This window comes from Homo sapiens, chromosome 2 (assembly GCF_000001405.40).
Source record: "Homo sapiens chromosome 2, GRCh38.p14 Primary Assembly".
NCBI lineage: Eukaryota > Metazoa > Chordata > Mammalia > Primates > Hominidae > Homo > Homo sapiens.
The window spans coordinates 61596386-61614238 of record NC_000002.12 but is presented as its reverse complement, the minus strand read 5'-3'; the positions used below and the strand labels follow the sequence as shown (position 1 = coordinate 61614238).

Below are 17853 nucleotides of genomic sequence, written 5' to 3'. Positions count from 1 at the left end.
AAGGTTGCTTACTAATGTAATTCTCCCCACTGGAGTAGAAGCTTCACAACTGCCAGGCATCTGAGTACCAGTGCATAGCACTGTGGTTAAAAACACAACTTCTAGGGTCAGTCTGCATTTGGAATCTCAATTTCATCACTTGCTAGCTATGAGATATTGGATAAATTTTGTAACCATTATAGGGAGGGGAACATCACACACCAGGGCCTGTCGGGGGGATGTGGGGAAAGGGGAGGGAGAGCATTAGGACACATACCTAATGCATGCAGGGTTTAAAACCTAGATGACAGGTTGATAGATGCAGCAAACCAGCATGGCACATGTATACCTATGTAACAAGCCTGCATGTTCTGCACATGTATCCCGGAACTTAAAATAAAAAATAAAAGGTCATAAAAAAATTTGTAACCATCTGTTTCTCCGTTTCCTCAACTGCAAAATGGGGATTGTTGCAAAATTAGGGTGGTTGTAAGAATTATATGAGATGTGATGATTCTAAAATATGTCTGCAAATTCTTCAGTGCTTTTCCCCCCAAAATATGGACCTGAATTTGTGGACTTAGTGACTAATAAATAGAATATTACAGAAGTGATAATGTCTTTGAGATTAGGATAGAAAAGTCACTGTGGCTTTGGAATACTTGCTGTGGGGAAGTCAGCTGCCTTTCTGTGAAGACAGTCAATCAGCCTATGGAGAGGCCCATGTGGTGAGGAGCTGAGGCCTCCTGCCAATAGCCCTTTGAGGGGGTCCCTCTTAGAAGTGGACCTTCCAGGCTGGGTGCAGTGGCTCACACCTGTAATCCCAGCCGTTTGGGAGGCCAAGGCACGCAGATCATCTGAGGTCGGGAGTTCCAGACCTGACCAACATGAAGAAACCCCGTCTCTACTAAAAATGCAAAATTAGCCAGGCCTGGTGGCGCATACCTGTAATCCCAGCTACTCAGGAGGCTGAGGCAGGAGAACCGCTTGAACCCGGGAGGCAGAGGTTTCGGTGAGCCAAGATCACCCCATTGCACTCCAGCCTGGGCAACAAGAGCAAAATTCCATCTCAAAAAAAAAAAGGTCGGCGGGGACCCTCCAGTCCCAGCCAGGCATTCAGATGCCAGCAATCCCTGCCGACATCCTGACGGCAACCTCCTGAGAGACCCTGAACCAGAACCAACCTGCTAAAGCACTCCAGAATTCCTTACACATAGAAGCTGAGGTAATAAATGCTTGTCATTAAACCATTACATTTTAGGGTAATTTGTTACTCGGAAATCGATAACTAATACAAGATGATAACGTAAAAGTACTTAAAACATAAACAGTAAGCACTCAGTAAATGTTGATCACTGTTGTTACTGCAATGTTCCGCTTTGTATCCTTAGCACCTAACACTTGCTACCTGGTAGGAGCCCAATATACAGCATGCAAGAAAGAATAAATGAATGTACACACAAAGTAAAAGTGAAGGATTGAGGCAATTGTCCATGGTAGTTGTTTCTGAAGTTATCTGAGCAAGGACATTTTCTTTCTTTTTTTTTTTTTTTTGAGACGGAATCTCCCTCTGTCGCCCAGGCTGGAGTGCAGCGGCATAATCTCGGCTCACTGCAACCTCTACCTCCTGGGTTCAAGTGATTCTTCTGCCTCAGCCTCCCGAGTAGCTGGGACTACAGGCGCATGCCACCATGCCCAGCTAACTTTTGATTCTTTAGTAGAGACGGGATTTCACCATATTGGCCAGGCTGGTCTCAAACTCCTGACCTCGTGATCCGCCCGCCTCAGCCTCCCAAAGTGCTGGGATTACAGGCATGAGCCACTGTGCCCAGCCGAGCAAGAACATTTTCAAAGAAAATCTAACCTCTATTTTTGGCCAGAGTTGACTCAAGAAAACAAAAACCTGGCATTTCAAATGGATGGAATTTAATACTGGGAATTGGTTACATAGACAATGGAAGTCCTGGGAAGCCAAATAGAGAAGGATGAGGAAATCCAGAGATTAGGGCCAGGCACAGTGGCTCATGGCTGTAATCCCAACACTTTGGGAGGCCGGCGTGGGAAAATTGCCTGAGCCCAGGATCTTGAAACCAGCCTGGGCAACACAGTGAGACCCCATCTGTGTATAAAAAGAAATTTTTTTGGCCAGGTGTGGTGGCTCATGCCAGTAATCCAGAACTTTTTGGAAGGCCAAGGAGGGTACACAACTTGAGGTCAGGAGTTTAAGACCAGCCTGGTCAACATGGCAAAACCCCATCTCTACTAAAAATACAAAAATTAGCTGGGAGTGGTGGCACACACCTGTAGTCCCAGCTACTCGGGAGGCTGAGGCATGAGAATCACTTGAACCCAGGAGGCAGAGGTTGCAGTACACAGAGATTGCACCACTGCACTCTAGCCTGGGCAACACAGACAGATTCTGTCTCAAAAAATAGAAAAAGAAAAAAAGGAAAAGAAAATTAATTTAAAAAAAAAAAGGAGGGCCAGGAGCAGTGGGCTCACGCCTGTAATCCCAGCACTTTGGGAGGCCAAGGCAAGCAGATCACCTGAGGTCAGGAGTTCGAGACCAGCCTGACCAACATGGAGAAACCCCATCTTTACTAAAAATACAAAATTAGTCTGCTGTGGTGGCACGTGCCCGTAATCCCAGCTACTCAGGAGGCTGAGGCAGGAGAATTGCTTGAATCCGGGAGGCGGAGGTTGCAGTGAGCCGAGACTGCGCCTCTGCACACCAGCCTGGGCAACAAGAGTGAAACTCCATCTCAAAAAAAAAAAAAAAAAAAAAAGAAAAAAAAGGAAATCTAGAGATTAGCTATAGCAAGATGCTGAATTATTCCTAGAGCTGGAGGAGCAATGAGAAGAGATTGAACTACCAGGGTTCAGAAGCTGGCCATGCCTACCAGAAGACGGTTGTTGGGCCAGAGCCATGAAAGAGAAGCCATCTGAGGCAGAGATAGAAACATCTTGCCTTCTTCCTTTCTCTTACCCTTTCTCTTCCACCAGTGCATCCCATTGGGCAAATCTCCCTAGAAGCCAGCTAGCAAGGGAGCCTGGGAAATGAGTGAAACACGTGAAATATGAAATAGAGAACAGGAGAAGGGTGAGGAATGGGTCTGAGTGGAAAATATATGTACATAATTAATATATGTAATTAGATACATATGTCCATGTATATGCATATATGGATATAGAAATATACATAGAAAATGATAAAAGCAGATATGGAAAATGAACAGCACACACCAATAACAAAAACAGATAAAAGCATTATTTATTTTATAAGTTTCAATGGAAAGCATTTATACTTGTGGTACATATGACAAGTGCACAAGTCAATATGTTAGTAGTCTCCAGTATGAATTTAATATGTTGCATATTTGAATGTGTATATTGTTTTTATTTTGTTTTGTTTTGTTTGTTTGTTTTTGAAGCAGAGGCTCGCTCTGAGACCCAGGCTGGAGTGCAGTAGCGTGATCTTGGCTCACTGCTAGCTTCACCTCCCAGGCCCAAGCAATTCTCGAGCATCAGCCTCCCAAGTAGCTGGGTTTACAGGTGTGCACCACCACATCCAGCTAATTTTTGTATTTTTTAGTAAAGATGGGGTTTCACCACGTTGGCCAGGCCGGTCTCAAACTCCTGACGTCTAGTGATTTGCCCACTTCAGCCTTTGTTTTTATTTTTAATTTGTAAATAAAATCTTTCCTTTGGGTAACTGTAAATCTATGTGATCAAACAAAACATCTTATTTTATTTTATTTCTTTTTTAAGGCTAGTTAAGTGAAGCAGTGAGGATAAACACTTTTACTCCCAAAAGATGTTTTGTGGTTTTTTTAAGTATTTTTTTTTTTTGAGACAAGAGTCTCATTCTGTCACCCAGGCTGGAGTGCAGTGGTGCTCTCTCAGGTCACTGCAACCTCCTCTTCCTGGGCTCAAGTGATCCTCCCACGTCAGCCTCCCAAGTAGCTGAGAATACAAGTGTGTGCCGCCACACTCAGCTGATTTTTGTTTTTTTTGTAGAGACGGGGATCTCGCCATATTGGCCAGACTGGTCTTCAACTCTTTGACTCCAGCCATCTGCCCGCCTAGGCCTCCCAAAGTCCTGGGATTATAGGTGTGAGCCACTGTATCCAACCCAAAAATGTTATTTTTCTTTGGCCATAAATGACTATATTAAGATCCTTGGCTGGGCCTGGTGGCTCACACCTGTAATCCCAGCACTTTGGGAGGCCAAGGTGGGCAGATCTCCTGAGGTCAGGAGTTCGAGACCAGCCTGCCCAAAGTGGTGAAACCCCATCTCTACTGAAAATACAAAAATAATCCAGGCATGGTGGTGGGTGCCTGTAGTCTCAGCTACGTGGGAGGTTGAGACAGGAGAATCGCTTGAACCTGGGAGGTGGAGGTTGCAGTGAGCTGAGACCACTCCATTACACTCCAGCATGGGAAACAAGAACAAAACTCTGTCTCAAAAAAAAAAAAAAAAAAAAAGTCCTTGATGAAATTTTAAGAAAATAATATTATTGTATAAAAGTTAAATTTCGTTTTTTAAAATACTACTGTGATTGTGTAAGAGAACAACCTTGCTTTTTAGGCACTACATACTGAAGTGGTTAGGGGTAAAGGGACATCATTTATTATACGTGTCAAATTGTTCAAAAAAGAATTATATATACATATATGAAGAGAGAAAAAACAATACAGCAAATATGGTAAATATTAACTTTTGGAGAATCTGGGTGAAGAGAATTTTTTTTCTTTTTCTGAGACAGGGTCTCACTCTGTCACCCAGACTGGAGCACAGTGGCACAATCACGGCTCATTGCAGGCTCAACCTCCCAGGCTCAAGTTACCCTCCCACCTTAGCCTCTCAGGTAGCTGGGACCACAGGTCCACGCCACCATGCTCAGCAAACTTTTTATATTTTATAGAGATAAGGACTCCCTATGTTGTCCAGGCTGGTCTCAAACTCCTGGGTTCAAGCGATCCTCCCACCTCAACCTCCCAAAGTTCTGGGGTTACAGGTGTGAGCCACCACACCTGGCTGGGAATTCTTTATACTATTCTTGCAACATTGATCTAAGTCTGAAATTCTTTCAAAATTGAGAGGCCAGGCTTGGTGGCTTATCCTTTAATCCCAGCACTTTGGAAGGCCAAAGCAGGCGTATCACTTGAGGTCAGGAGTTCAAGACCAGCCTGGACAACATGGCGAAACCCTATCTCTATTAAAAATGCAAAAATTAGCTGGGCATGGTGGCATGCCCCTGTGATCCCAGCTACTTGGGAGGCTGAGGTGGGAGAATTGCTTGAGGCTACAGTGAAACTACATCTCAAAAAAAAAAAAAAAAGACGATGAGGTTTCGCCCTGTTGGCAAGGCTGTTCTCGAATTCCTGGTCTCAAGTGATCTGCCCACCTCGGCCTCCCAAAGTGCTAGGATTACAGGTGTGAGCTACCATGCCTGGCCAAATCTAAATTTCTTTCTTTCTTTTTTTTTTTTTTTTTTTTAGACGGAGTCTTGCTCTGTCACCCAGGCTGGAGTGCAGTGGCGTGATCTCGGCTCACTGCAACCTCCGCCTCCCAGGTTCATTATTTTTAGAATAAACTAAAAAGTTATCTCTCATCCATGTCTTCAATCACCAATAACTCATCACCAATAACTAGTCTTTATTACTTATTCTTATGTAACTTTCCAGAGTTTCTTTATGCCTGTGCTTATCAGCAAATACATATTTTTTTATTTTTTATTTTATGTTTGTTTAGAGATAGGGTCTTGCTCTGTCATCCAGGCTGAAGTGCAATGGGGCAATCATAGCTCATTGAAACCTTGAACTTCTGGGCTCAAGCAATCCTGCCTTAGCCTAGGAGTACAGGCACGCACCACCACGCCTGGCTAATTTTTTTTTTGTTTGTTTCTTTGTTTAGAGATGGAGATCTCCCTATGTTAGGCTGAATTTTATTTTTTTTAAATCCCCACATAAGGACACGTTTAGGATCTGCCTTTTTTTTTTTTTTTTTTTTTGAGACGGAATCTGGCTCTGTCACCCAGGTTAGAGCGCAGTGGTGCAATCTCAGCTCACTGCAACTTCTGCCTCCCTGGTTCAAGCGATTCTCCTGCCTCAGCCTCCCAAGTAGCTGGAGTTACAGGTGTGCACCACCAGGCCTGGCTAATTTTTGTATTTTTAGTAGAGACAGGGGTTTCACCATGTTGGCCAGGCTGGTCTCAAACTCCTGACCTCAAGTAATCCGCCTGCCTCAGCCTCCCAAAGTGCTAGGATTACAGGCATGAACCACCGCGCCCAGCCTAATTTTCTTTTTTTCAATAGAGACAGCATCTCATCATGTGGGCCAGGTTGGTCTTGAACTCTTGCCTCAAGCATTCCTCCCATCTCTGCCCCACAAAGTGCTAGGATTACAGGTATGAGCCATCTCGCCCAGGCTGCTTCTATTTTTTCAGGCTAAATAACATTCCATTGCATGTATATACCACATTTTGTTTATCCATTCATCCACAGATGGACATTTTGGTTTGCTTCCATTTCTTTCTTGACTATTGTGAATAGTCAAGAACTTGACAACTCTATGAGGTTAGGTAAAAACTAAACCTGAGAGAATTAAAGTAATACCCAAGAGTACACACAGCTGGTCATCATCAGATCTAGGATTAGATTCCAGAAGCTGTGTCTCTTCTTCTCTGCTATATCACCTCCTAGTTATCACAGGTGCTCTACTTTTCAATACTATCTACATGAGGGGCCGTCTCTCATATGATGTTAGTAAACAGATAAATAGGTACAGTCACCATGGAGGGCAATTTGGCATTGTTTGTCAAAATGATATATGTACATTTGCAATAATAGTGCACTTAATACTAACTGTACGTGTAAAAAAAGTTAAGATAGTAAATTTTATGATATGTGTTTTTTTACCACAATGTAAAACAAATCATTTTTTAAATGACATATAGACATACCCTTTGACTCAACATTGTAACTAGATATTTATCCTATTCATATATACATATGTGGAAAATTATGTGTCTTCAAGAATATTAATAGCAATCTTTTTTGTATTAACAAAAGGTTAGACTCACATGTCCATCAGAAGGAGGCCCGTGAAATAAATTATGCTCCACTGTACAATGGAATACTAGTCAGTCCTTTAAAAGGAAGATATTTATACTGACAGGGAAAATTGCCATGATACATTGGAAAGTGTAAAAGGCAAGCAACTGTGTAAAAAACAGGTGGGAGGTAGGGGGTAAGAGGAGAGGGAAAGAAAAAAATATATATTTGCTTGTATATTGATAGGCTATCTCTGAAAAGAAACCCAAGAAATTCATAACATTAGGCTGGGCTCAGTGGCTCACACCTTTAATCCCAGCAAAAACTTTGGAAGGCTAAGGCAGAAGGATTGCTTGGGCCCAGGAATTTGGGGCTATGCTCTATGACCATGCCTGTGAATAGCCACTGCATTCCAGCCTGGGCAACACAGTGAAACCCTGTCTCTAAAAAACAAACAAAAAGCGGTTAGGGGCCTTATTTTAACCTTCCAAATGCTTGAAGTCATTTGTGACCACCACCCGCTCCCCCGCCACCCCCCCGGCTCCCAGCCTTCCCTTTTACCAGTGGAATAACCCCAACCTTTAACCTTCTCTCATATACCAATATAGCACCTGTTCAATCATTCTGGCTTCTCTGAGCTCTCCAAATCTTTCTTAAAATGTAGATTTACAATTGGTTCATGATATTTTAGTAAGGATTAGACATATCAAATATTGTGGAAGGATTATTGATTGACTATGTTTACACATGTCCTCCCATTAACACTTTCTCATGTTAGCTTTTCCAAGACTTCTTTTTTTTTTTTTTTTCTGAGACAAGGTCTCACTCTGTCACCCAGGCTGGAGTGCAGTGGCATGATCTCAGCTCACTGCAACCTCCGCCTCCTCAAGATCAAGTGATCCTCCCACTTCAGCTTCCCAAGTATTTGGGAATACAGGCACACACCACTACACCCGGCTAATTTTTTGTATTTTTATTAGAGACGGGGTTTTGCCATGTTGCCCGGCTGTTCTTGAACTCCTGGGCTCAAGTCATCTACCTGCCTTGGCCCCACAAAGTGATAGGATTACAGGCATATGCCACCATGCCTGGCCAATATCTCTGTTCTGAACCATCTTTCTGGGAACAAAATCATGTGGCTGATGTCAATTAAGGTGTGGCCCACATCCCAGAGTTAATATGGTTTGTTTGTTTTAATTTTTTTTTTTTTTAGATGGAGTCTCCTTCTGTTGCCCAGGCTGGAGTGCAGTGGTGTGATCCTCCTGCTTCAGCCTCCCAAGTAGCTGGGATTACAGGCACCCACCACCACGACTGGCTAATTTTTTTTTTTTTTTTTTGTATTTTTAGTAAAGATGGGGTTTCACCATGTTGGCCAGGCTAGTCTTGAACTCCTGGCCTCAAGTGATCTGCCCATCTTGGCCTTCAAAAGTGTTAGGATTATAGGCATGAGCCACCGCGCCCAGCCGGTTGTTTTTAATTGGAAAAATATGGAATGCTTCATGAATTTGCATGTCATCCTTGTGCAGGGGCCATGCTAATCTTCTTTGTATCGTTCCAATTTTAGTATATGTGCTGCCAAAGCAAGCACCAGAGCTGATGTTTTTTACGTCAAAAAGAGATCCATGGATTGCAAACCCACCCATCTGTGGCATGGGGAATGATGCCAGAATACCCTCCTTTAACAGAACCCAAAGGCAAAGAGGTGAGAGAGGAACGGTGGCCCCACGTCACTGGGGAATGACACAGACCAATTTAGTCAATTCAGCAGAATATTCAGTCAATCCATATATCTGATACACTAATTATCTGCAATGCATACTAAACACCATATCTAAGACCAGAGTTTTCACACTACAGTACTTCTTAACTAAAAAGGGGTTTTCTCTGCCAGTCTATTAATTTACTGAGAGTTCAAGACTTTAGTTAAAGATAAGGGATGGAGGCAACCCAATCCATCAGCAGCCAATCAAGAGACATTTTTCTGAGAACAAAGGTGAAAGAAGGTCAATGGAGGAGCTGGTACCCAATTCCAGATTCTAGAGGTCACAACCACTTTCAATCGTTTCCTCCCAGAAGTCTTTGCTTTCTAACCCCTGGATGGCCTTGTTGTTTTACCAACAGATAGAAACCTAGGTGGATTGAATTAATTTTGCTAGCATCAATCCATCAATCACAGGCTTGTTAAATATTAATGCATCAGGCCAAAATGACCTCAGGTTCTCCAAGAGGTATCCAGGTAACATAATTCAACTGCATTAGCAACTAGAGCTAACCTAAATACACACACACACACACACACACACACACACACACACACACAGAGAGAGAGAGAGAGAGAGAGAGAGAGAGAGAGAGCTACATTGCCAGAGAATTGTGTTAGGGCAATAAGATTATTTTATCCTATTTTTCAAAATACTGCTTTTGAAATTTTTTAAATGGGATTTTAGTAAATATAGATCACCTCTAAGTATTGTGTGATTAATTTGTATCTTAAAACTCCACGAAGAAGAAACAACTATTCTATAAGGGAGATTTTTTTTATTTCAGTGCATCAATGTAACATGTAGCCATTAAGATATGAGTAGACTGGTGAGTAACCCAGAAAATATTCAGGATATATTGTAAAATGAAAAAACAATGGGTACCATACAATGCCATTAAATACATAATATTTTCTTCTTTTTTTTTTCCAAGATGAAATTTCGCTCCTGTCACCCAGGCTGGAGTGCAATGGCTCAATCTCAGCTCACTGCTACCTCCACCTCCCAGGTTCAAGTGATTCTCCTGCCTCAGCCTCCCCAGTAGCTGTGGTTACAGGCGCTTGCCACCATGCCCAGCTAATTTTTGTATGTTTAGTAGAGACAGAGTTTCACTATGTTGGCCAGGCTGGTCTCAAACTCCTTTCCTCAGGTGATTTACCCACCTTAGCCTCCCAAAGTTGCTGGGATTACAGGCATGAGCCACTGCACCCAGCCTAAGAAAAAATTTGTTGTTTACCTAGAATTAAAATATAACCAAGTGTCTTGTATTTTAGGCAACCCTATATGTGCAGATTCTCAGCTGTCTTTCATTCTAAGAAAATACCAAAATCCACCTTCATTCCCACCTCCATCTATTCATCACTCAGATACCCAGAAGGTATCTATCATGCCTGCCATACCATATCTCCTGTTGCCCTTGACAGCCCTGTTTGGGCCTGGCATGATCTGGCCTCCTTTTCTCCCCACCACCTTCACAGCTGACTGGAGGCTGGCCTAGGGGATTACTAGAACCTCCATCTCAGAACTCAGCGCCTATTCACTAGTCAGCCAAATTCCGGCTGAAACTGAGTTGCAGCAGTGTCAGTGCAATAGGAGACCCCTGGTCGTAGGAGATTTGGCACCCATCACCCTTGGTTACCCTCCAGAAGTGTCAAATGCAGCCTCTGCCTAACAGTGCCAGTGCTCCTCCCCATAGCCTTGATGCTCACAGCCCCCTGGGAAAGGAACCTAGTCCCGGGCTCACTGCCATTGTCAGTGAGGTGGGGAATGTGTAATCTCTCAGGAAGAACTGGAGCATGGTAGATATTCCTGGAACACTGAGGTTCATCTTGATTATATATAACTGTACTATACTTGTTTTCCACATCTGTCTCTCCTAGACTATATATTCCTTGACAGCAAGAGCTATAACTTATGTCCACATGCTGAGAATGAGCACAAAGCCTGGGTAGTTTTACCACTAATGAATGAATGAACCAACAAACAAAATGGCCTACAATAAGGGATAACTAAGCAAACTGTGGTGCCTCAGATCTGTGGGACAGTACATATCTATTTTTTTTAAGTACATGTATTATCTTAATACATAGAAATTTTGGTCGGGCACGGTGGCTTATGCCTGTAATCCCAACACTTTGGGAGGCAGAGGTGGTGGATCACCTGAGGTCAGGAGTTCGAGACCAGCCTGGCCAACATGGTGAAATCCTGTCTCTACTAATAATACAAAAATTAGCTGACCGGGTGCGGTGGCTCACGCCTGTAATCCCAGCACTTTGGGAGGCCGAGGCAGATCAGGAGGTCAAGAGATCGAGACCATCCTGCCCAAAACCCCGTCTCTACTAAAAATACAAAAATTAGCTGGGTGTGGTGGTGTGCCCTGTAGTCCCAGATACTCGGGAGGCTGAGGCAGGAGAATCACTTGAACCCGGGAGGCAGAGGTTGCAGTAAGCCAAGATCGTGCCACTGCACTCCAGCCTGGTTAAAGAGTGAGACTCTGTCTCAAAAAAAAAAAAAAAAAAATTGGCCAGATGCGGTGGCTCACGCCTGTAATCCCAGCACTTTGAGAGGCTGAGGCAGGCAAATCACGAGGTCAGGAGATCGAGACCATCCTGGCTAACACGATGAAACCCCGTCTCTACTAAAAATACAAAAAAAAATTAGCTGGGCATGGTGGCGGGTGCCTGTAGTCCCAGCTACTTGGGAGGCTAAGGCAGGAGAATGGCGTGAACCCGGGAGAAGGAGCTTGCAGTGAGCTGAGATCATGCCACAGCACTCCAGCCTGGGTGACAGAGCGAGACTCTGTCTCAAAAAAAAAAAAAAAAAAAAAAAAAATTAGCTAGGTGTGGTGGCACATGCCTATAATCCCAGCTACTCGGGAGGCTGAGGCAGGAGAATCACTTAAACCTGGGAGGTAGAGGTTGCAGTGAGCCGAGATTGCACCATTGCACTCCAACCTGGGCAACAAGAGCGAAACTCTGTCTCCAAAAAATAAATAAATAAATAACGAGTAAATAAAATAAAATCTATGGTCAGACCACAGTCAAGACTGGCAGAAAATTTGGAGTCATAAATAATTTAGAGACTAGTACTCGGCACAAGATTTTTCTACAAATTTGCTCAATTTCAAAATAAATATTTGTATGCAGCTAAGAATCCAGAGGGACTTTAGCCTCTGAAGCACTGGAATAAGTAAACCTGCAGGCCTCAGAATTTGAGCTCCTTTTAAAATTGGCTCAGCACAGGTCATCAGGACCTCCTGAGACTATGTCACGGTGCATCCTTAACCTTTAAATTAAAAAAAAAATTCTGGGTGTGGTGGCTCACATCTGTAATCCCAGCATTTTGGGAGGCCGAGGTGGGTGGATCACCTGAGGTCAGGAGTTCGAGACCAGCCTGGCCAACATGGCAAAATCCTGTCTCTACTAAAAATACGAAAATTAGCCAGACATGGTAGTGCACTTCAGTAGTCCCAGCTACTCGGGAGGCTGAGGCAGGGGAATGGCTTGAACCTGGGAGGCAGCGGTTGTAGTGAGCTGAGATCATGCCATCGCACTCCAGCCTGGGTGGCAAAGTGAGACTCTGTCTCAAAAAATAAATAAATAATAAAAATAAATTTGCTCAAGCTAAAAGATTTTCCTTTTCAGAGGGCACTGTTTACTCTCATGCTCTTCATACTCTAATGTGACAGAAATCCTATCTATTCAACACAAATTGAGAGGAACATCTAGCCATGACATGGTTTGAGCAATAAAGACCAAAAGCATGTCCTTCATTCTCCCAGATAATCCCTGTTGTCTTTTTGCATTTCATGTTTGAATTCAGACTGTATTTAAGTGCTAGCCTAGTTCACAGAACCCACAGATCTAGGTGAATATCTCCCCAAACTTTTCATCGTGATCCTTCCCTAAAACCTTTGTTAGCTCCTGGTTGCCCAATCCAAATTCCTCAACCATCACATTCCCACAGAAGATAATTTCAATCTGCCCTTTCAATCTTTTATTAATCTCTTCTGCCTTAACTGCATTTGCCTCTGGTGTTTTACTCGTATAAATGCCTAATTTAAGTCCTCCTTCCCTTGCAATCTTCTCAGGTCCTCCCTATCAGAAGACTTTGAGAGCTCTCCTTCAAATTTTTCTGAATAGCTTTTACTCTGCACTTTTTTTGGCCCTTATTATTTTTCTGGCTTGTATTGTTAACATCCTTTACATGTGTTCATCTGGCATTTGGTATTTGCAAGTAGAAAATGTCATCGCTGAAGGTGGAACGAACCAGCTAGCTGATCTTCACAAGATGGGTCAATGTACCACCAGGTAGGGTCAGAAATTCAATTTGGTACATTCCCATTACCTGAGTGGCATCTTAAAATTTCCAGAAATGACACCATGCTCAGACTTAAGGGACTGAATCATGTTAACCAAAACCTCCCAAGGATGATTTACAAACCAGAATGTGTTCTTATTTTGCAGTGGGAGTGGCCATTTATATACGCTACTATCCTTCTAATGAAAACCAAATTACGGATAAAGACATTTCTAGTGAGCAGAGACAAGAAGATAGAAAGGAATTGGCTCCATAACCATGTGCTCATGATCTATTGCTGCTGTAACAAATTACTATAACCTTAGTGGCTAACAACGAACAAATTTACTTTTTTTTCTTCTTGTTTTCCTCAGACCTCGCAAGCCTGGGTAAATTTACTCTTTTACAGCCATGTAGGTTAGAAGTCTGATTTTATTCTCACTGGACTAAAATCAAGATGTTGGTAGGGTTGTGTTCCTTTCTGGAGGCTCTCAGCTTCTTTCATTTCCCAGCTTCTCAGGCCCTCACACTCCCTAGCTCATGGCCTCTTCCCCTATCTTCAAAGCCAGCCTTGAGTCCTTCTTATTATATATCACATCTGTCCGATCTCCACTTTTCCTTAATTCATCTGCTTTTAAAAACCCTTGTTATGGCCAGGTGCGGTGGCTCACACCTGCAATCCCAGCATTTTGGGAGGCCGAGGCGGGTGGATTACTTGAGTTCAGGAGTTCAAGACCATCCTGGCCAACATGGTGAAACCACGTCTCTACTAAAAATACAAAAATTAGCTGGGTGTGGTGGCACACGCCTGTAGTCCCAGCTACTTGGGAGGCTGAGGTAGGAGAATTGCTTGAACCCGGGAGGCAGAGGTTTCAGTGAGCCAAGATCATGCCACTGAACTCCAGCCTGGGCGACAGAACAAGACCCTGTCTTAAAACAAACAGACAAACAAAACCCTTGTTATTAAATTATTCTTATTGGAATGATATAGGATAACCCCCTACCCATCTTGAATTCATATATATATGTGTGTGTGTATATATATATAGATAGATAGATAGATAGATAGATATACATATATATGAATCCACACATATATGAATCATATATATATGAATACACACACACACACTTGCCTTTATTTATTAATTTTAATTTTTTTTTTTTTAGAGACAGTCTCATTACGTTGCCCAGGCCAGTCTCAAACTCCTGGCCTCAAGGGATCCTTCTGCTTCAACCTCCCAAGTAGCTGGAACTACAGGCTTAAGCCACTGCTCTTACTTATTATTTTGCTTTGTTTTTGTTTCTTGAGACGGAGTCTCACTTTGTTACCCAGACTGGCATGCAATGGCACGATCTCAGCCCACTGCAACCTCCACCTCCTGGGTTCAAGCAATTCTCATGCCTCAGCCTCCCGAGTAGGTGGGATTACAGGTGCGCATCACTGCACCCAGCTAACTTTTTTGTATTTTTAGTAGAGTCGGGGTTTCACCATGTTGGCCAGGCTGGTCTTGAACTCCTGACGTCAGATGATCCACTCACCTCTGCCTCCCAAAGCGCTGGGATTATGGGCATAAGCTACCGTACCTAGCCTGTTTTTGTTTGTATATACATTTTGCAGGGGAGGGGGAGGGGGCGGAAAGGCAGAGTCTGGCTCTGTTGTCTAGGCTGGAGTGTAATGGCATCATCATAGTTCACTGCAACCTCGATTTCCTGGGCTCTCAAGCATTCCTTCCTCCTCAACCTTCAGAATAGCTGGGACTACAGGCACACATCAACACACTCAGCTAATTTTAAAAATGTTTAGTAGAGACAAGATTTCACTATGTTGCCCAGACTGGTCTTGAACTTCCTGAGCTCAAGTGATCCTGCCCACTCAGCCTCCCAAAGTGCTGGGATGAGCCACCACACCCGGCCGTTAATATTTATTTTTGTTGTATGTATTTATGATGTACAACATGATGTTTCAATATACATATACATAATAAAGTGATAACAATAGTCAAGCTGATGAACATATTCGTCATCTCACATACTTACCTTTTTTTTTGTGGTAAGGTCACCTAAAATCTATTGCTTACCAGCCTTCCAGTATACAATATTATTTATTACAGTCTTCATGCTGTATATTAGATCTCTAGATTTATCATCCCACATAACTGTAGCTTTGTACCCTTTGAACTATATCTCCCCATTAAGACCATGAAGGTTCTTAATGCCATCTGTAAAGTCTCTTTACCATTGTTAGATATGAGTTCTAAATTTCTCTTCAAAGAATTAATATGTCAGTATGTTCAATTCTTTGCCTTCTACTTTTAAACTTAACTTCCTTGTGAAGCAACCTTTTTCGATTACCTGCTCCACCCTGACTCTTCTGATTACCTGCTCCGCCCTGACTCATTCTCCACCCTGACTCATTCTCCACCCTGACTCATTCCAATTTCCTGCTCTGCCATAACAATTTTTCCCACCAAACCACTCAACCTGTCACTCTCTTTAAATTAGCCAATCGGAATTAGTTTAGCCTGTGCAGTCTAACCCTGGCGAATAGGGGAATGACGCAGCAGCAGGGGCCACATGCGTCAGGGATAAGAACCCCTTCCCCTCCCTTGTCCAAGTGTGCACTCACCATTGCTCCATCTGTAAGGGCGCACCCTTCTATAGAAGTACATTGCCTTGCTAAGAATTAAAAATAAAATTTTATATTCGAGTGCTATTTCTTTTGTGGCACCGAAACTTTATTTATAACACCATGTAAAGCAGCATATCTACAGATTCTAGGAACATCTTTGGGAGGCCATTATTCTGCCTACTACAATCAAATTTCCAAAAAGATATTCATAGGAAGCTAATATATTGAGTATGAATATTAGCACATATGTAAAATAAGAAAATATTACTTTTATTCCCAAATTTGGGCTTCCATTCAACTAAAGTGATAGGAATGTAATAATCAATCACTGTTGAGGGCAGCCTATGTGGTACCTGGGATACCAGAAGAGCTCACATTTCTAGCCTGTAATGCCCAAAAATCCCGGCCTTAGGCCATGTGGTCCCCTACCATGCAATAGTACTCTATTCCATGGGGTGTGGGCATTTTTGCCCAAGCAGAACACCTTGAGGTCCTAAACACCAGCATCCACTCTAAAGTCTTTACCCCTCCCTGGGTCCCCAAAATAGTAATAAAGTTCATGAGACTCCAGGACCCTTCCTTGTCTTCCCCACTCCCACTTCATTCCTCTCCCAGGCAGATAGCTCTCTCTTTCTTCCCTCCCTTTCTCCACTGGTTTTAACACTTTTACAAAAGACCGGAAGAGCGTTTGGCTTTAAGCGGCTATTGGCTTTCCCTCTTGCAAAATTCCTAGGAAGGGAATTACAAAAGACCTAGACACAAAGGACCTGTGTAGAGTGGGGCGAGCGGGGTTGTGTGGGGGCTGAGAAATACTGTAGTGAGCAAAACACACTGCTACAATTAATAAATTAACATCACAAAAAACTGTCCTGTCACATAAATATAGCCTACTATTTTATCTTTTTCTACCAGGATCTATTTTTGTTTTTTTAATTTTTAGTAGAGACAAGATTTCGCCATGTTGGCCAACATGGTCTCAAACTCCTGGCCTCAAGTCATCCACCTGCCTTAGCCTCCCAAAGTACTGAGATTACAGGTGTGAGCTACCAGACCCAGCCATGATCTATTTCCATTTCGATGACTTCTTTCCTCTTCTGTACAAATAGAACTGGTAAATTCTGACTCTTTCGTAGTCTTTTCTTTTTTTTAAGGTTCTTTATAAACCTTGAAACTTCTGTTTGCATTTGTCATATACCTGTGGATTTTTTTTTTTTTTCCTTTTGTGGGGGTTGGGGAGTGGCGGATAAAGCAGGCTCTCCATTTATTGCCCAGGCTAGAGTGCAGTGGCTCACTGCAGCCTCAGACCTCCTGGGCTTAAGCCATTTGCTTGCCTCAGCCTCCCAAAGTGCTGGGATTATAGGTGTCAGCCACCATGCCCAGCCCTTGTGAATGTTTCTAATACTAAGTTTTATCTATACTAGCTAATTTAACCTGTCTGCTCGCTTAAGAGATTTGTGGACACACCTTAATCTATTAGTGAGATATTTACAAAATAATAGATTAGGCTAGGATGGATTCTTTCTGTCTGAAGATAACAAATCTATATTTGTGTATGTGTATGTATGTTTGGTGCTCTTATTTTTATTATTATTTTTTATCGTTTTTTGAGGCAGCGTGTCCCTCTGTCGCCCAAGCTGGAGTCAATGGCGTGATCTCTGCTCGCTGCAACCTCTGCCTCCCAAGCTCAAGTGATTCTCATGCCTCAGCCTCCCACGTAGCTGGGATCACAAGCATGCACCACCAGGCCTGGCTAATTTTTTGTATTTTTAGCAGAGACAGTGTTTCACCATGTTGGCCAGCCTGGTATTGAGCTCCTGGCCTCAGGTGATCTGCCTGCCTTGGCCTCTAAAAGTGCTGGAATTACAGGTATGAACCACCGTTCCCGGCCCTTTGTGCACTTATTTTTAGTTATTATTTTTATTATTATTATTGTGGCAAAATGTACATAAAATACAGATTACCATTTTAAAGTGTACAGCTCAGTGGCTTTAAATACAATGTTGTCCAACCATCACTATCTAGTTCCAGAAATTTTTTTATCACCCCAACTGGAATCCTGGTACTCATTTTTTTTGTTGCTTATTTTTATTTATTTATTTATTTATTTTATTTTATTTTTTTTTTTTT

The 17853-nt window shown here is 42.7% G+C and overlaps 1 pseudogene, besides 2 other annotated features; it reads right to left on the bottom strand.

The window, feature by feature from the left end:
- RNU6-1145P (RNA, U6 small nuclear 1145, pseudogene) lies at positions 8518-8623 on the bottom strand (annotated as a pseudogene).
- Positions 15846-16411: an enhancer, noted in NCBI's record as "NANOG-H3K27ac hESC enhancer chr2:61824963-61825528 (GRCh37/hg19 assembly coordinates)". NCBI's record gives its function as "activates a minimal SCP1, AML or CMV promoter by ChIP-STARR-seq in naive H9 embryonic stem cells {active_cell/tissue: H9 hESC(naive)}" and the evidence as "EXISTENCE:reporter gene assay evidence [ECO:0000049][PMID:30033119]".
- Positions 16976-17540: an enhancer, noted in NCBI's record as "H3K27ac hESC enhancer chr2:61823834-61824398 (GRCh37/hg19 assembly coordinates)". NCBI's record gives its function as "activates a minimal SCP1, AML or CMV promoter by ChIP-STARR-seq in naive H9 embryonic stem cells {active_cell/tissue: H9 hESC(naive)}" and the evidence as "EXISTENCE:reporter gene assay evidence [ECO:0000049][PMID:30033119]".